Source organism: Homo sapiens, chromosome 17 (genome assembly GCF_000001405.40).
Source record: "Homo sapiens chromosome 17, GRCh38.p14 Primary Assembly".
Classification (NCBI taxonomy): Eukaryota; Metazoa; Chordata; class Mammalia; order Primates; family Hominidae; genus Homo; species Homo sapiens.
Window position 1 is genome coordinate 8,154,126 of NC_000017.11, and position 17,696 is coordinate 8,171,821.

The following is a 17,696-nucleotide window of genomic DNA, read 5'->3' on the forward strand; positions in this document are numbered from 1 at the left end:
CCCTTCAGGGATTTAGGTGTGATCTCCCCTAACCCAGGCAGTCCTTGATCTCCCGCCTCCATCTCCCTGTCTTTTGCATAGACAAAAGGCTCCAGCCCTCCAGCAGCCCCCGCTTGCTCCCAAGACTCTTGTTGTCCTGCTTCACCGTCCCCACAGTAACCAGGCCCTGCTGCCGTCAATGGAGGCGAGGGGGCGGGAGACAGCAGTGACGTCAAAGCGGAAGAAGGGGGCGGGGCGAAGCTGCCTCGGAATGTGGGGCAGGGAGGCTGGAGAGACTGGAGAGGCAGCGGTTTGGGAGGCGGCCAGCCCGAGAGGGCGGCGGCCAGCGCACTTGGGAACATCATGTTCTCTTGGCTGGTGGCCCAGGACATGCACCCAGCCTGGGCGCCTCCCCCAACAAAACGACAGCCGTCCTGTCCCAAAGCCAGGGATTCCTGGAGAGAGGATTAGTAGGAAGGGGGCCCCCTCCCCACACCTCCCCCCACCACGCCTGGCTCTCTTTTCAGGACTCCCATCTGCCCGCTCCTCAGCTTGTTCCTGCAGCTCTGGCTTTTCCTCTCTCCCAAACTGTACACATCTGCTGGCCTGGTACCAAAGACCCAGGGCGGAGAAGTTGGAGGTCCTGTCTCTGGGAGAGAACACGACGCACCTTTGCTACCTTCCAGAAGCCCCTTCAGAGCCTGAATCTCTTATTATGACAGCGGGCGGGGGGAAAGGGAGAGGGGCGCGGACAGGGAGGAGAAGGGGCCTAGGATGAAAAAATCAAACTGGGACAGAGCAAGTGGCCCAGTCTAGGGCCTGGATCCTGGGAGAGGGCTAGAAGGGAGGAATGAGGGAATTTGGACTGCTGCCTGAAGACCAAAAGAGCCAGGAAGAGAGAAATGGGACGCCATCAAAACTTGCAGAAAAACTTGAGAATATGAGACTAGTTCCCAGCCACAGCATTCACATAAATCTCTCACCATAACCCAGGCATTATGCTAAGCACTTTATATTATCTTATTTCATCCCCAGAACAACCCCGTGAGATAGGTATTATTATCCCCATTCCATGGGGGATAACTAAGGCACGGAAGTTACTAAACTTGTCCAGTGCCTCATAACATGGTCTCAAGCTCTTAACAAATGGAGCCCAGGATTCAAAAATCTGAACTCTAATAATGGCTTGTCATTCTGGTTTCTTACCCTTGAGGAACCTGTGAGGTGTTAACCAACCTGTAAGCTGCATTCCAGCACTGGCAAACCTGGCCTCTCAAATATCCAGCCAATTCTAAGTTTGGTGCCAGGAACACAGACTCCATCCAACCCCTTTCTCTGCCTTAGGCCTGATCCGAAGCCACTGTTTGCACTCCCCACACACTTAACATCATAGCCCGTTTTCCCAGGCTCACAAAGTGCTTGAGATCACCCAAGCAGCCACCAGCCCCAATGATTTCCTACGAAGCCCACTTCCTCACTTTTCTACTTTACCTCAGGCCAACTTTACCAGACGCCTGGCCTGGTTGTTTGTACAGACAGATACCAAAACACCCTGTTGGTGCCTCCCCACCTCTAGGGGCTCAGGAAGACGTGCACAGCCAATCTGCCCAAACCCCAACCCTATCCTCTCAGGACTCAATAGTTGCTACCCCACGTCTATTCTCAAGGACGACTCTGAGGCCTAAACCCTTCCGCTTAACATGAGAAAGACGCCCGGAGCCGTAATGTGACTAGCTCTGGGTCTCACAAATTAAAACACCATCCTTTCTCATATCAGCATGCCAACCCTTTGGTACCCTCCGACTTGCCCTACCAGGGCCTCCCTCCGGCCTCCGAACCTCTGCCTCTTTCAAGTGTTTAAGGAGACCACCCAAACACCCTGGGAGCAGGGGCTCCTTCAGTCCCGACCTGAGAGGGAGCTCCCTCAGGTCGCAGAGGGCTTCCGAGCCCTTCCCCCCGGGCAGTCAAGTGTCCAGGGACTCCACGGGGGCGAGGGATCTGATGTCACTAACTCCCACCCCGTCCCTCTAGACCTGAGTTCACGGTCCCTATTCTCCACAACCATCAGAGCTCCCACCGCAGTTATCACGTATTTGCATGATCCCACACACACACACTCTAACACCTTCCTAACCGACCACACCACCCCGGAAAAGTCCACACCGATCGCCCCGCATCTCTCCCCCATCCCCGAGCACTCACCGCTCGGCGCGCACGCACACTCCAAATTTCTTCTAGGACTTCTAGCATTACACTGGCTCCTCCAAACCCGCCCACGGGCCGGGCTGCCACGCCCCCCACGCTTATTGGCTTAGGGGCGCCGACCCATGCCCCGTGCCGCGTGCAGCCGCCGGCCCCCGCACAGCCTCCATTGGCACCTCCGGCCGCCATCGTCTTCTCATTGGTCAGCAGGCCAACGGGGGCGGGAGAGATACACGTGAGAGAGGGGCCGCCCCAACGCGGGGATTGGAAGCCTGACCGGAAGCCACGCCCTCGACACTTCTGAGGTTCTTATTGGCTGGGGAAATAACCCCCGACCTGCCAAGATTGGTGACGTAAATGCCAGTCCCGCTCTCCAAGCTTTCTCATAGGCTGAGAGGTCTTGGAGCTGTAGGGTACACGTGCCGGCGGTCTCACGCGGCAACTTGTTTACCCAGAAGCTGGGGATTTTCCTTGACGACACTCTTAACCACGGCTGCTAAATCTGCGCAGGCGCAGCCGTGAGCGGTGGCAGCGTATAAGGCGCACTTTGTACAGAGACCCGGGCGTGACTAGGGCGCCTCTGGCGCTGGGGTTCCGGCCCTGGGTCCCACCGAGGCTCCCTGAAGCTGGAAGGTGAGAGTATTAGGGTGAAGCGGTCTTCAGATCTCAGCACGGTGTCTTGGTGACGATGAAAATAAGAGAGCCTCTTCCTGATTGTTTTCTGCGGGCCAGGCCAGGCGCTTCTCACAAACTCTGAGGAGGCCAGCTCACATACTCCCCCCGCCTCACAAATGAGACCGAGATGCAGGGGGGTTACGTAATCTGTTCGCCTGTAACACGCTAGTCAGTAACAAGGCGAAAACTTGAACCCAAGTCCCCGACACCATAAAGCAGGCGGGTCCTGGGGCCCATGGGAACTCTTAAACCTGGAAGGAATTTGAGTTGGCAGTGCGAAATCCTGAGCACTGCCTGGCATATAGTAAGACTTCAATCAAGTTGGACATTCTGGTAATGATTGTGTACCTAATTATAAGAATCACGGTGGCTCACGCCTGTAACCCCAGTACTTTGGCAGGCTGAGGTGGGTGGATCACTTGAGGTCACGAGTTTGAGACCAGCCTGGCCAACATGGTAAAACCCTGTCTCTTCTAAAAAAAAAAAAAAAAAAAAAAAAAAACGACGGCCGGGCGCGGTGGCTAACGCCTGTATTCCCAGCACTTTGGGAGGCTGAGGCGGGCTGATCACGAGGTCAGGAGATCAAGACCATCCTGGCTAACACGGTGAAACCCCGTCTCTACTAAAAATACAAAAAATTAGCCGGGCGAGGTGGCGGGCGCCTGTAGTTCCAGCTACTGCAGGAGAATGGCGTGAACCCGGGAGGCGGGACTTGCAGTGAGCCGAGATCGCACCACTGCACTCCAGCCTGGGCGACAGAGCAAGACTCTGTCTCAAAAAAAAAAAAAAAAATCCCTACAAAAATTAGCCGGGCATGGTGGTGGGTACCTGTAATCCCAGCTACTCAGGAGGCTGAGGCACAAGGATTGCTTAAACCCAGGAGGCGGAGGTTGCGTGAGCCGAGATTGCACCAAGGCACTCCAGCCTGGGTGACAGAGTGAGACTGTCTCAAAGCAAAAAAAGGCCGCGCGCGGTGGCGATTCTCCTGCCTCAGCCTCCCAAGTAGCTGGGATTACAGGCGCATGCCACCACGCCTAGTTTTTTGTATTTTTAGTAGAGGTGAGGTTTCACCATGTTGGCAAGGCTGGTCTCGAACTCCTGACCTCAAATGATCTGCCTGCCTCAGCCTCCCAAAGTGATAAGATTACAGGCGTGAGCCACCACACTCTACCTAAAATATACTCTCATTTGTTCAACATCGTGTTAAGTGGATTTTTTTTTTTTGAGACAGTCTCGTTCTGTCACCCAGGCTGGAGCACAGTGGGGTGATCTGGGCTCACTGCAACCTCCACCTCCCAGGTTCAAGCAATTCTCTGCCTCAGCCTCCCGAGTAGCTGGGATTACAGGTGCCCGCCACCATCCCCGGCTAATTTTTTGTGTGTATTTTTAGTAGAGATGTGGTTTCACTGTGTTGGCCAGGCTGGTCTTGAACTCCTGACCTCGTGATCCGCCCACCTCGGCCTCCCAAAGGGCTGGGATTACTGGCGTGAGCCACCGCGGCCGGCCACTCATTGTTGAAGCACCTGGGAACAGGGATACTAAGATGCCACATCGGGGCCTCCTGGACCTACAGGCTGTGGCAGTTCAGTGTGGGGTCTAAAGTCACAAGTCATACAACAGAGTACAGGGGTAGTAGGCCATCTACAGGCAGCTCCACAACATACTCAGCTTTGTCTCTGTGAGCCTATTTAAACCACAATTTACTAACCCCATCTGGGCGCTGGCACTGGGTTAGGCACAGAGGGGAAGACATGCTTCACAGAAATGGCCAACTACTTCATCTACTGCTGCACGGGAGCCACGGCAGAGCGTCTAGAAGTTAAATCGAGGAGTAGAAAGGAGTCCAACAGCAGGAACATGCCCCAGTAAAGGGAAACGAAAGCTGGGAACCCTAGACCACAGGGCGCACCGGGCTTAGAGACACGGGCTGGCTATGACACTTCCCATTACCAACTCCTAGTGCCCCCCTGTGGCCACTTTGAGAATCACACTTTGCCCTGCCCAAGGTCAGGGCCTCTTGCAAAGTCCAGTCCATTACCAATGTATCTTCTCAACCTTCCTGGTATACCTTCCGATCCAATATTATTCCCATTGGTTAAGAAAAGATCTTATTCTCCCCCAACCAAAAAAAAAAAATAGAAAAATAAAAAAGATCTTAGACAACACCTGGTTACTCATTACACATTTATTGTACATTTTCACAATCTGGATGCGCCACAGAATTGGGGGCATGGGGTGGGGGAAGAGGGGGGCAGGGGACACTGGGATAATATGGGGGGTCTAAAACACAGCACCCCCACCTCCAGCATCTCTCCTACCCTTTCACACCACAGCTTAGATATCCCTGCTCCCCCTCCACACAGAAAACCAGAAGTGTGGGGGGAAGAAAGTTTGGGGGCCCCCTCCCGTGGCAGGTTAAGGGACTGTACCCTCAAACCCTTAAAATTGTGCCATTTAAAAAGACAATAGACCCTTCCTCAATCAGTTCACCCAATGAGAGGACAGCTCTCTCTGGGCTCAATAGTCCTGGAGAGGGGCAAGCATCCCCGTTTTCCAGCAAGTCCCATACACACATTGGCAGTGACTAGTACCCCCACCCTAAATTCAGGGGGGGCAGTCAGAGGAGCTGGGCAGTGATGGGGCAACACCCCCCAAATTGGGGAGGAGGGTTTTCAGTCCAACCCCCAGCAGGGGTGAGGCCAGAGATTTCAGGCAGGAATTGGGGGGATTCTCTGCCCTGCCCCACTCCTCCCCAAGGCAGTGATGACCCCCACACACACACTGGTAGCCACCCCTCTCACAAGAGATCAATTGTGGCCAACCCCCAACTCTCCTGGTGGGAGGAGGAGGTGGATCAGGCAGATGGGAGGGAAACCCCATGGGAATGTCAGTTGAGTACCCCACATGAAAACTGGGGAGCAGGAATGTAGGGAGAAACCCGAAGTGGCAGAATTATTGGTCCATCATAACATACTGAACTTCAAGACACTTACATACCAGCTGGGGGAGGGAGAGGAGGGTACAAGAGGTTTGGAAAATGAGGGTAAGGGAGGCAAACTGGACTAGAGGGGCTAGGAGGAGGCAATGCTGGGGACCAGAGCAGCCTGGTTCCCCAAAAGCCCAGGCTCCCCACCACCTGCGAGTAATGTCGTGCAAATGAAAATGTGATACAAGAACTAATGGGGACTAACTCCTCAGTAAAAAAAGAAACACAGGTTGAGAGAAGAGTGATGGAACAAAAAGAAATGGAAAGGGATAGCAGTATGTAATGATACGCTAATTAACATGCTGGACGCTCCCAAAGACCTTGGGATTCTTAGGACCAAGTGGGGCCAGTCTCAGAGCCTCCCAATGGATACAAAGAAGATGTACCTAAGGAAGCCTGGACAGGTGCTGTTGTTTTTTTTTTTTTTTTTTTTTTTTTGAGGGCGGGGCAGAGGGAGCATGACGGGGAGAGTGAGGAGGAAAGAGGAAAGGAAGGCCAGGGTGGGAGGAAGGATCAGCTAAATCTGAGGGAAGAAGAAGGAAAGGAGAGGGACTATTGCATAGCAGATGCAAATGAAGGGACTTGGGGCTAGTCAGGAAGAAAGGGAAAGGGAAGGAAGGCAAGAGAGAGGGGTGAAGGGAACCTCAGGAAGGGGTGTTAAGGACAACCGGAAAAATCATCTAGTAATAAAACTACAAACAGACCAAATATATATAATATTATATATGTATAAATAACAGCTGGCTATTTACAGGGGGACACACACACGGACACACACACACACGGATCCAGGGGAGTGGGGGCTGAAAGATATGGCTGAGAGGTGGAGGAACGGCTGAGGGTTGGGGGAGAGGCCCTTCTCTAGGCAGGGCAGACTCCTCGGGGATTTAAGTGCTGAAGTAAACTGTGGAGAGAGGGGAAGAAGATGAGGAAGAGGGAGAGGGGAGAGAAAGAGAGAGAACAAGAAAGCAGTGTGTCAGGCCTGGCCCTGCTCCAATCCTCCCCACTCCCCAGCTGGCTGACACCCTCTCTTGGACTCAGTTTTTCCATCTACAAAGCAAGGGGCTAGACAGGTAGGTTCTGAGGTCCCTTCCGCTCCATGGTATGGCCTTGAAGCCACAGACCCTAATCCTCTGAGCCTCTGAGACCGCAAGCTCTCAAATAATGGGGTGGTTGGCTTCCTGGTCATGTCTCAAGCCCCTGGTCCTTTCCTTTCTCCCACTCCTCAATTCCAGGGTTCTCAGACTGGGCTCTTAGGCCTAAAGGGTCCTCAATGGATACACCAGCTTTCCTATTTCCAAATGTTAACAAGACTGCCAAGAACTAGGCAAAATGCAGGCTAAATAACATCAAAGTTTTTGGCTCTAGATGAATCAGAATTGCCATTAGCAGCTATATGTGTTTTTGGCTGAAGAGTAAAAACTAGATTAATGACCTTCAAAACCTAGAATCCACTGGGGAAACCTCTCCAGGGAAAGGGCCCCGGCCATTCTCACCCTACTCACCTATGATGATGATGAGGATGATGGCGCAAATCACTCCCAAGATGATCATCATCTGGGGGTGAGAGGCGAGGATCAGTAAGACAAACTATGATACCCCATTCACCCACCTGTCCTCCTTCCTGTCCCCACCCTTACCTTGAGGTTTTTCCACCAGTATTTGCGCTTGAGCTTGGCTGCGCTTGTTTCAAACTGGGAGGCCCCCGCCTGGAGTGCATCTGCACGGTCGTCCAGCTCCGACAGCTTCTGGTCTCGCTCCAGGACCTTGTCCACGTTCACCCTCATGATGTCCACCACCTGGGAGAAGGGCCCACGAGGCAGGGGGGTGTGCCAAGGCCCACCTCAGTGAGGGCAATCCTCAAACATGTGCCCACCGTGCCACACATGGAACATGCACCCTGATACTGCCAGGTTAACATGCCAAGGACACACAGAACATGCCTAGCACACCTGGGGACATGCAAGGAGCACACATCAGGGGCATGCTGGTGACATCTCAGATGTCATAGCAACACCCTCCCTCTATGGAACCTCAGGCGCTCTGTCCATCACCAGAGCACACCTGCCCAGGCTGGCACACCCCAGGCTAGCAAAGCTGATTAACACCCCCAGCGCCCTTCCAAGTGCGTGCTGACAGGGAGACAGGGATGGGGCATGGTATCTTTGTCCGCAAACCCACAGGCGTGAACTGTCATCACTCCCAAACCAACATGGGCCCCTACACCTATACGCCAACCCCCAGGGTCCCTCCTACTGCTTTTGACTCCCCCCACACTCACCTCATCCACCTGGGCCTGGGTCTGCTGCAGTCTCCTGTTACTGGTGAGGTTTGGAGGGGGTGCAGGGGGACCACCCTCCCCAGCCGGGGCAGCAGGGGGGGCCGTGGCAGCGGTAGCAGACCTGAGGAGCAGGGACGGATTAAGACCCAGGGCCTGCAGCCTCCCGGCCCCGCAGCCAGGGCTCCGCCCATCCACCTGTCCATCCTCGTCCCTCCAGTCCTCCTTTTCGGGAGGAAGGCCACCCGATGTAAGCCCTGGTCTCGGTCCAGCCCTGCCGCCGATGAGCTGCGTGACCTTGAGCGAGGCCCCCCCGGCCTCAGTTTCCCCGCCTGTCAACTGAGGGCGACCTCACAGATGCGATCCGGGTCGACCCGAAAAGACAGGCGGCCGCGGTGACAGGGGCGGGGAGGGGCAGGAGGACACTGGGTCCGCTCCTTCCCGCGGCCATCGCCCGAGCCGGCCAGCCCGGGACGCGGGGCTCCTCGGCCGCCCGCGCGCAGTCACCGGCTTGGGCCTGGCCCCGGGGCGCGGGGAACGCAGGAGAGACCCCGGGCACTCCCGACGGCCGGTTGCCAAGGGCGGCGGCCGGCGCAGGGAAGCGCGGTGAGGGTGGCGGGCGGCCGACTCACATGGCGGGGGCAGCGGGTGGAGGACTTGGCAGCGGCAGTGATGGCGGCGGCGGCTCGCGCTGGCTCCGACTGGCGCTGGCTGCCCGGGACGGAAAGATGGCGGCCGCGCGTCACCCGCATCCGGGCACTGCGGGCGGGGGCGGGGCGCCGCGGGAGACGCGTCGCGAGCGGGGCCGCGGGGGCGGGGCGCTGCGGGGCGCTGCGGGGCGGGGGTCGTGCCGGGCAGGACCACGGGCCCCGCGCCACCATGCCCCGGCAGCTCCCTCGGCACTCGCGGGACCCCAAGGCGGGCTGCTGCGGCTTCCCCAAACCCACCGCCACCCCACCCTGTCTGACCACAGCCCCCCCAAACCGCCTGCCGCCTGCCCCTTAGAGCACAACGCAGCCTGGCCCTACACCTAACCCCCAGACCACTCCCTCAATCGTGAACCCAGTAAACCAGCCTGCACCCCACACAGCCCAAGGTCTTGCCCCGCGCCCAGGTCCCAGCACCTAGCGACCCGCCTTCAGCACTTGGAATGGGCTGGAGTTGGGAAATCAGAGAGGGCCAGTGCAGGTGCTGGGGCAGTATCGAGAGCGGGGACCTTACTGCTAGGGTGGAGAGGAGTGGGGGAGATTGGTCCCAACCCATCACCGCTGGTGGATGTCTCAGAGGAAGCCTGGGGTCCCTGGCCACTGGGTAGGAGGGTAGGAAGAAAAGATGAGGCAGGCTCTTCCCGCCCAAACAAGTCCAGGGGGCGGAGGACGGGGGAGTGTCTACAGGGTGTGGGGAGGGGGCTGCCCCGCCTCACGATTAAGGTTCAGACTAGGGGTACTTAACCGCTGGAGCAGGCCCGACTGAGGTGGGGTGAGCTGAGGACCCCGAGGAGGAGGGCACAAGGCTGCCGGGGGTGATGGGGGCAGGGGCTGCTTCACGTGGTGGCTGCTGACTGGCCAAGACCTAGCTTTGCCCCAGGCTTAGGTCAGCGACCCGACTGCAGGAAAGGGCTCAGGCTTTGGTCCCAGGCACAGGGCCTGGGCCAAAAAAAAAAAAAAAGCCTTTTTTCTTTTTCTCTCATTTTTTTTTCTTTAGTAGTAGGCACAGTGGGCACAGGTTACAAGGTGCTGCTTTACATGCGTATTCGCCTCGCAGGTGTGACCTTGGACCGTTGCCCTCCTCTCTCTGGACCCCAAATACATTGCATATGTAGGTACTAAATCCATATTTGTTAAATGGCTTGATGTGGATAACATAGGAGATTATCCCTGGCTGGTCTCCATTAGGCCCTCTAAGCACACCCAGCAGCTGTATACACTCCCACCCAGCTTGTCAGAGAAGATGGGACCAGGGGAGCTGTCGCTCTGGTGGAGTGCAGGGGGTCAAAGCAAGCCTCAAGGGTGCAGGAGGCATTTTAGGCGAGGCCCTTTGGCCCTGGGGTGGGGGTGCTTACTACATCCCTGGAAGGTGCAGGGAGGCTGATGGCCTTGATCTCTAAGACAAACAGGAACCAGCTTCCTCCCTCCCCCACCCTGGCTTCCCAGGGCCTCCGGGTGTGAGATCCTCCCCCACTGCAGTGCCCCACCCGCTCCCCACAGAAGCCCGGAGAGTGGCTCTGTCACCAGAGGTGTCATTTCCCAGCTGTCTGTGGGAGGTGAGTGAGCAGGGAATGTGTGTGCTGGGTGTGGGAACTCAGCCCAATCTAAGAGAAGATACTCTTGGCTTCCTCCCCCTCAGAGGAGCAGCCGCGTCCCTGGTCCTTGTGCACTGACAGTCCCGGGTGGCTCAGCCTATGTGATGAGAAAGAAAAGAGCAGCTTCCACGGGGGTCTCAGATCATGCTGTGAGATGCTGGCTCCTGCTTTTTGGTCTTCAAATGATTCCTCTTTCTAGTCAGAGAACAAAGATGCCAAATTCCAGCCTTTTAAGTTCAAAACCCTCAGTGTCTGTCAGGGTATAAATAAGACATGGAGGATTGGAAGAGGCAGGCACAGGAAGCCCTTCCGCCCCCAGTTGGACACCCTGCACTAACTGAGGGGAGCCTAGTGCAGAGCCAGACAAGACATTTGATGCTGGTTTGGGGGTGATGTGGAAGGGACAGAGCCCCAGATACACGGTCAAGGCCAGGGGTCGTGCTATTGCTATTGGATCGTGGGGACGGCAGCAGCAGAGTAGAAATGAGGGCATGTGTGACCCACGGAGATGAAGGGCCCAGGAGGATTCATCTCAGAAAGAGGACTCTCATCCAGCAGCCCCTTCCCACCCCACCCCACCTAGGCTGTGGCTCAGAGGAACTCCCCAAATTTAGATCAATGGTGGAGGTGGGAGAAGGAGTGGGATGACGGAGTTCACCTGGAAGTGACTGAGAGAATGTTTTCTGCAGGCAGGTAGAATGGAGACCCAAATAGAGGTAAGTTGAACAATAGAAAAATAATGTATTTGCATAACTCAGATTTGGCTTCTACATGTACTGGCTTCGGGAATTGGCCAATGATTTTCTAGGGCACACCCCCAAGACTCATTCAAAGGATGTAGGACTCAAGGTGATGGTGATGTAGGCAACAGAGACCACACTTTCTTTTTCTTTTTTTTTTCTTTTTTTTTCTTTTTTGAGACAGAGTCTCTGTCTGTCACCCAGGCTGGAGTGCAATGGCGCGATCTCTGCTCACTGCAAACTCCGCCTCCCAGGTTCACGCCATTCTCCTCCCTCAGCCTCCCGAGTAGCTGGGACTACAGGCGCCCACCACCCGGCCCGGCTAATTTTTTGTATTTTTAGTAGAGACAGGGTTTCACCGTGTTAGCCAGGGTGGTCTTGATCTCCTGACCCCGTGATCCGCCCGCCTTGGCCTTCCGAAGTGCTGAGATTACAGGCTTGAGCCACCGCGCCTGGCCGAGACCACACTTTCATAAACGCTTTCTTTTATTTTTTATTTTTATTATTATTTATTTATTTATATTTAAGATGGAGTTTCGCTCTTCTTGCCCAGGCTGGAGTGCAATGGTGCGATCTCGGCTCACTGCAACCTCCACCTCCCGGGTTCAAGTGATTCTCCTGCCTCAGACTCCCAAGTGGCTGGGATTACAGGAGTGCACCACCACGCCCGGCTAATCGTTTTGTACTTTTAGTAGAGACGGGATTTCACCATGTTGGCCAGGCTGGTCTCGAACTCCTGACCTCAGGTGACCCACCCACCGTGGCCTCCCAAAGTGCTGGGATTACAGGCGTGAGCCACCATGCCCGGCCTTATTTCGTAATTTTTTTTTCTCTTCAGACAATTACTGGTTTAGAAGTCGGCCGGGGCTGCAGTGCAGTGGCGTGATCTCGGCTCACTGCAACCTCTGCCTCCTGGGTTCAAGAGATTCTCCTGCCTCAGGCTCCCGAGTCCCTGGGATTACAGGCGTCCGCCACCATGCCTGGCTAATTTTTCTATTTTTAGTAAAGACAGGGTTGCGCCATGTTGGCCAGGCTGGTCTCAAACTCCTGACTTCAGGTGATCTGCCCACTTTGGCCTCCCGAAGTTCTGGGATTACAGGTGTGAGCCACTGTGCCCGGCCTTTTTAATTATTTTTTTTGAGGCAGTCTCCCTCTGTCACCCAAGCTGGAGTGCAGTGGCACAAGCTTGGCTCACTACAACCTCTGCTAATTTTTCTGTTTTTAGTAGAGACAGGGTTACGCCATGTTGGCCAGGCTGGTCTCAAACTCCTGACTTCAGGTGATCTGCCGACCTTGGCCTCCTGAAGTGTTGGGATTACAGGCGTGAGCCAATGCACCCGGTCAAGAAGGTGTCTCTTTTTGTATTAAAGCATAATGTAAACACATAAAGTGGTATCTTTTTAATATGTGAAGTTCTCTCTGAACAAGTACCAAGCACAGTGCCAGGAACGAGGCAGGCAAATGAATAATAAACTATGGTGAGTGCATAGCAGGCAGACAGACTGCTAACGGGAAGGATGTGTTTGGGCAGGACCTTTGTGCCCAGTATTCTGTAAGGACAGTCCTAGTTGGGCTGGCGAAGCACTGATCACTTTTTACTGGTTCGACCAGGGAACCAGCCAGCAGAGCAGGCCCAGGCCCCTGGCCACTGGGAAGCAGGGCAGTGTGGGTGGTGGGGGTGCCACATGCCAGAGCCCTGTATGGGTGGGAGAAGACATAGGCAGATCAGAATCTCCTGGGATTGGGTGCGTGAAAGGACTCCTGGTTCCGGTCCCTCACTCTCCAACCCTCCATTCATTAGAGATTCACTGGGTTTAACAAGCTCCTGTTGTTTTGAAAGGGGGAGGAATTCTCCTCTAGATAGAGAGGTTGTCAAGAACCCACATCTTCCTTTTTATTTATTTATTTAATTATTTTTGAGACGGAGTCTCACTGTCCCCCAGGCTGGAGTGCAGTGGTGCCATCTTCTGCCTCCTGGGTTCAAACAATTCTCCTGCCTCAGCCTCCTGAGTAGCTGGGATTACAGGCGCCTGCCATTAAGCCCAGCTGATTTTTGTATTTTTAGTAGAGACAGGGTTTCACCATGTTGGGCAGGCTGGTCTCGGACTCCTGACCTCAGGTGATCCACCTGCCTCGGCCTCCCAAAGTGCTGGGATTACAGGCATGAGCCACGGCACCTGGTTGACATCTTATTACCTTCCATATTACATGCCAAGCCCAGAGCCTGGCAGGTAGCAGGTGTTCAATAAACATTTGTTTAATTGAGTCAACTGATTTGGCCTAACAGCCAGGAGACTTGGGTTCTAGTCCCAGCTTTCCCACTCTGCATGGTGTCCTGGAGCAAATGCCTTTCTCCTGGGGCCTCATTTTTCTCATTTGTTAAGTGAGGGCTCTCTCATTCTACAATGCCAGGCATTGTGCTGGTATCAGAAGCTACAATAATAAACACAAAGAGAGATTATTAAAACAGCATGATCTTTGCTGTGATGGACTTAATGACCAAGACACTTGCCAACCCTCCTCAAACGGATTAAACCGAAAAAGAAGAATCTTGTAACTAGAACACAGCTAGAAACAGCAGGATCCAGGTCCTCAAAAGTTGCCATCGGGGATCTGTCTCTCTGTTCTTCAGCTATGCTTGCCTCTGGCGTAGCTTCATTTCCACACAGGCAACATAAGCAGCTGCAGGCTCACATTTGTTTAAAATGTTATAGTTTTATATATATTTATATCTAGTTTATAGAGATGGGGGGGGTCTCACCATGTTTTCCAGACTGGTCTCAAACTTTTGGCCTCAAGTGATCCTCCGGCCTTAGCCCCGCAAAGTGCTGGGATTACAGGTGTGAGCTACCATGCCCGGCCCCAAAAATGTTATAGTTTTTAAATTTTTATTTGTTTTTTCAGAGACATGGTCTCACTCTGTCACCCAGGAGGGAGTGCAGTGGCACAATCAAAGCTCACTGCAGCCTCGAACTGCTGGGCTCAAGTGATCCTCCCACCTTAGCCTCCCAAGTAGCTGGGACCACAGGCGGAGACCACCACATCCACATCCAGCTAATTTTTAAAATTTTTTGTAGAGATGGGGGTCTCATTATGTTGCCTAGGCTGGTCTCACACTCCTGGGCTCAAACAGTCCTCCTGCCTTGGCCTCCCAAAGTTCTGGGATTACAAGTGTGAGCCACTGCACTCAACCTTGTATATTAAACACACACACATGCACACACACACACACACACAATTTATCTTCAGAATTTCAAAAGTTCAAAAGAGCATATGCAGAAAGTTTCTCCCCCACCCTGTATCCCAGCCACTCAATCTGCTTTCTCACAACAGCCAATACTCCCGGTTGCCTGCACCTCCTTTCAGAGGTGGTCCATGCATATGTAAGCAATCATGTTTGTAGTTTTCCCCTTTTTTACACCAATGGAAGCAAACTACATGCACTTTTCTGCACCTTGCTTTTGTCACTTAATGTATCTTGTATATTGTACCATTATACTGCATAAAATTCCCTTTCTTCTGGTGGCATAGTATTCCACAGTATGCATGTATCAGAATGTAACCAATCCCCTACTGACAGACATTTAGGTTGTTTCTAGCCTTTTGCCAATACAAACAAAGGTGCAAAGAATATCCTACACATTCCCCTTTCAACTGTGTGCAAATATGTAGGGCTAATTCTTAGATATGAAAATACTAGTCAGGTGTGGTGGCTCACACCTGTATTCCCAGCTACTTGGGAGGCTGCAGTGGGAGGCTCACTTTAGCCTAGGATTTCCAAGGCTTCAGTGAGCCATGATCATGTCACTGCACTCCAACCTGGGCAACAGAGTGAGACCCTGTCTCAAAAACAATAAAAATAACAAAAATAAATTCTAGGTCAAAGGAATAGGTGTTTGTGATTTTGATTTTCATGGGAATTGCTAAATTGCTCTCCATAGATGTGTTACCAACTTTTACTCCTACCAACAAATAGGCAACGCCTGTTTGCCCACACCCCCTCCAACACTCTATGAAACTTTTTGGTGATTACAAATATGCTAAGTTGAAACATGATCTGCATTTCTCATTGATGAATGAGGTTAGGCATCTTTTCATATAGTTGAGAGTTTTTTGTATTTCCTTACCAGTGAAATTTCTGTAGAAATGTTTTGTACAGTTTTATTGGGTTATTGGTATTTATCTTGTAAATTTGTAGATATATATATATGTCAAAATTAGTCCTTTCTCTGCAATATGAATTTAAAATATTCCCCCTAGATTATCATCTATTCTTTAACTTTTGCTTATAATTTTTTGTACTATGCATAGTTTTAACATTCTAATATATATTTAAAGTGTGTGAGTGTTTTCATTTATGCCTTCAGTGTTTTATTACCATACTTTGAGACTTCGAGACCAGCCTGGGCAACAAAGCGAGACCCCGTCACTACAAAAAAGTTAAAAAATTAGCTGGGTGTGTTTTTACCCGCCTGTGGTCCCAGCTACTCCGGAGGCAGAGGTGGGAGGATTGTTTGAACCCAGAAGGTCAAGGCTGCAGTAAGCTGTGAAGGCAACACTGCACTCCAACCTGGGTGACAGAGTAAGACTCTGCCTCAAAACAAAACGAAAAAAGCCATCAAAATTAGCCAGTAGTGGCAGTAGGTGCTTGTAATCCCAGCTACTAGGGAGGCTGAGGTGGGAGGATCACTTGAGCCTGGGGCAGCTGAGGCTGCAGTGAGCTATGATCATGCCGCTGCACTCCTGCCTGAGCCACAGGGCAAGACCCTGTCTCAAAAATAATAATAATAGGGCTAAGCACGGTGGCTCACATCTGTAATCCCAGCACTTTGGGAGACTGAGGTGGGCAGATCACCTGAGGTCAGGAGTTCGAGACCAGCCTGGCCAACATGGTGAACCTCCCCCCCAACCCCTGTCTCTTCTACAAATACAAAAATTAGCCAGGTGTGGTGGCACGTACTTGTAATCCCAGCTACTTGGGTGGCTGAGGCAGGATAATCACTTGAACCTGGGACGCGGAGGTTGCAGTGAGCCGAGATCGCGCCATTGCACTTCAGCCAGGGCGACAGAAGGCGACTCCATCTCAAAAAAAAAAAAAAAAAAAAAAAAAAGAGGGGAGGGGAGGGGAGATCAGCCGGGCGTGGCAGCATATGTCTGTAGTCCCAGCTACTTGGGAGGCTAAGGCAGGGGAATCGCTTGAACACGGGAGGCGGAGGTTGCAGTGAGTCGAGATCGCACCACTGCGCTCCAGCCTGGCGACAGAGCGAGACTCCGTCTCAAAAAGAAAAAAAAAATTAAGTTATTCAAAATATAAGGTTAAAAGTTCCAAGATTTATTTGAATACTTTTATGCTTTTGTTTTTGTTTTTTTTTTAAGACAGAGACTCCCTCTGTCACCCAGGCTGAAGGGCAGTGGCGCGATCTCAGCTCACTGCAACCTCCGTCTCCCGGGTTCAAGCGATTCTCCTGCCTCAGCCTCTCGAGTAGCTACGATTATAGGCAGACGCCACCACGGCCGACTAATTTTTGTATTTTTAGTAGAGACGGGGTTTCACCATGCTGGCTAGGCTGTTCTTGAACTCCTGACCTCAGGTGATCTGCCCACCTCGGCCTCCCAAAGTGCTGAGATTAAAGGCGTGAGCCACCGCGCCCAGGCTAATTATTTTATTTTATAGCATGCTTTTATTTCCAGGAAGAGTCCAGGCTTCTCTTTTCCCAAAAGTTCCAGCAATAGTCCTGTTGTCAAGGTTTATGCTTGAACCAATCACCGCGCCCAGGAAAACAGAATGAGCCTAGAGAGGAATGGTAGGGAGGGAGTGGCTGTCAGCCTCTTCCTAACCACGCAGACTAAGAATAAGGGAGGGTCTCCCAAAAGAAAATGGTGGTGCTGCCGGGCGCAGTGCCTCACGCCTGTAATCCCAGCACTTTGGGAGGCCGAGGCTGGCAGATCACGAGGTCAGGAGATCGAGACCAGCCTGAACAACATGGTGAAACCTCGTCTCTACTAAAAATACAAAAATTAGCCGGGCGTGGTGGCGCGCGCCTGTGATCCCAGCTACTCAAGAGGCTGAGGCAGGAGAATCGCTTGAACCCGAGAGGCCGAGGTTGCAGTGAGCCGAGATTGCGCCATCGCACTCCAGCCTGGGCGACAGAGCGAGACTCCCTCTCAAAAAAAAAAAAAAAGAAAGAAAGAAAGAAAGAAAAAGAAGAGAAAATGGTGGTGCTATTACCAGAAAGAAAGGATGGATACTGAACTGGCAAAAACAGATGTCTACTATGATGGGAGAATCCCAAGACCCAGTCAACTCAGGGAAAAGACACTGAGCAGTTACCACAGGCCTGACACTCTGCTACCCTTCTCCCCTGACAGACAGCAGTGGCCGGCGCCTGTAATCCCAGCTACTCGGGAGGCTGAGGCAGGAGAATCGCTTGAACCAGGGAGGCGGAGGTTGCAGATCGCGCCACTGCACCCTAGCCTGGGCGACAGAGCAAGACTCCATCTCAAAAAAAAAAAAAAAAAGTGTGAGTGTGGATG

General features: G+C 52.9%; 1 protein-coding gene across 2 annotated transcripts, besides 11 other annotated features; it reads right to left on the reverse strand.

Moving 5' to 3' along the window:
• Positions 152-932: an enhancer, noted in NCBI's record as "H3K27ac-H3K4me1 hESC enhancer chr17:8057595-8058375 (GRCh37/hg19 assembly coordinates)". NCBI's record gives its function as "activates a minimal SCP1, AML or CMV promoter by ChIP-STARR-seq in primed H9 embryonic stem cells {active_cell/tissue: H9 hESC(primed)}" and the evidence as "EXISTENCE:reporter gene assay evidence [ECO:0000049][PMID:30033119]".
• Positions 184-323: an enhancer, noted in NCBI's record as "active region_11667". NCBI's record gives its function as "activates an Ori minimal core promoter by ATAC-STARR-seq in GM12878 lymphoblastoid cells {active_cell/tissue: GM12878}" and the evidence as "EXISTENCE:reporter gene assay evidence [ECO:0000049][PMID:35858748]".
• Positions 2,151-2,410: a silencer, noted in NCBI's record as "silent region_8164". NCBI's record gives its function as "represses an Ori minimal core promoter by ATAC-STARR-seq in GM12878 lymphoblastoid cells {active_cell/tissue: GM12878}" and the evidence as "EXISTENCE:reporter gene assay evidence [ECO:0000049][PMID:35858748]".
• Positions 2,911-2,970: an enhancer, noted in NCBI's record as "active region_11668". NCBI's record gives its function as "activates an Ori minimal core promoter by ATAC-STARR-seq in GM12878 lymphoblastoid cells {active_cell/tissue: GM12878}" and the evidence as "EXISTENCE:reporter gene assay evidence [ECO:0000049][PMID:35858748]".
• Positions 4,521-4,760: an enhancer, noted in NCBI's record as "active region_11669". NCBI's record gives its function as "activates an Ori minimal core promoter by ATAC-STARR-seq in GM12878 lymphoblastoid cells {active_cell/tissue: GM12878}" and the evidence as "EXISTENCE:reporter gene assay evidence [ECO:0000049][PMID:35858748]".
• Positions 4,881-4,930: a silencer, noted in NCBI's record as "silent region_8165". NCBI's record gives its function as "represses an Ori minimal core promoter by ATAC-STARR-seq in GM12878 lymphoblastoid cells {active_cell/tissue: GM12878}" and the evidence as "EXISTENCE:reporter gene assay evidence [ECO:0000049][PMID:35858748]".
• Positions 5,022-8,823, reverse strand: VAMP2 (vesicle associated membrane protein 2). 2 transcript variants are annotated; one of them, NM_001330125.1, is made up of 5 exons: positions 8,319-8,751; positions 8,124-8,244; positions 7,483-7,641; positions 7,348-7,399; positions 5,022-6,746 (listed from the first exon to the last, which is right to left on the reverse strand). In NM_001330125.1, exons 1-5 carry the CDS (start codon positions 8,324-8,326, stop codon positions 6,730-6,732), a joined length of 357 nt encoding a protein of 118 aa, NP_001317054.1. In that variant the 5' UTR covers positions 8,327-8,751; the 3' UTR covers positions 5,022-6,729. The 2 variants fall into 2 exon arrangements, with proteins under 2 accessions (NP_001317054.1, NP_055047.2); NM_014232.3 differs by lacking the exon at positions 8,319-8,751 and adding an exon at positions 8,753-8,823 and having other exon boundaries at positions 5,024-6,746.
• Positions 7,991-8,040: an enhancer, noted in NCBI's record as "active region_11670". NCBI's record gives its function as "activates an Ori minimal core promoter by ATAC-STARR-seq in GM12878 lymphoblastoid cells {active_cell/tissue: GM12878}" and the evidence as "EXISTENCE:reporter gene assay evidence [ECO:0000049][PMID:35858748]".
• Positions 8,151-8,260: a silencer, noted in NCBI's record as "silent region_8166". NCBI's record gives its function as "represses an Ori minimal core promoter by ATAC-STARR-seq in GM12878 lymphoblastoid cells {active_cell/tissue: GM12878}" and the evidence as "EXISTENCE:reporter gene assay evidence [ECO:0000049][PMID:35858748]".
• Positions 8,551-8,740: a silencer, noted in NCBI's record as "silent region_8167". NCBI's record gives its function as "represses an Ori minimal core promoter by ATAC-STARR-seq in GM12878 lymphoblastoid cells {active_cell/tissue: GM12878}" and the evidence as "EXISTENCE:reporter gene assay evidence [ECO:0000049][PMID:35858748]".
• Positions 8,901-9,000: a silencer, noted in NCBI's record as "silent region_8168". NCBI's record gives its function as "represses an Ori minimal core promoter by ATAC-STARR-seq in GM12878 lymphoblastoid cells {active_cell/tissue: GM12878}" and the evidence as "EXISTENCE:reporter gene assay evidence [ECO:0000049][PMID:35858748]".
• Positions 9,131-9,190: a silencer, noted in NCBI's record as "silent region_8169". NCBI's record gives its function as "represses an Ori minimal core promoter by ATAC-STARR-seq in GM12878 lymphoblastoid cells {active_cell/tissue: GM12878}" and the evidence as "EXISTENCE:reporter gene assay evidence [ECO:0000049][PMID:35858748]".

What these genes read in the sequence shown, in the direction of transcription:
- VAMP2 (NM_001330125.1), bottom strand. An exon ending in CCCAGGCCCAGGTGGATGAG is followed by an intron (nt 7,642 to 8,123) that starts GTGAGTGTGGGG and finishes CCCTTCTCCCAG; the next exon opens with GTGGTGGACATCATGAGGGT. An exon ending in ACTGGTGGAAAAACCTCAAG is followed by an intron (nt 7,400 to 7,482) that starts GTAAGGGTGGGG and finishes TCTCACCCCCAG; the next exon opens with ATGATGATCATCTTGGGAGT.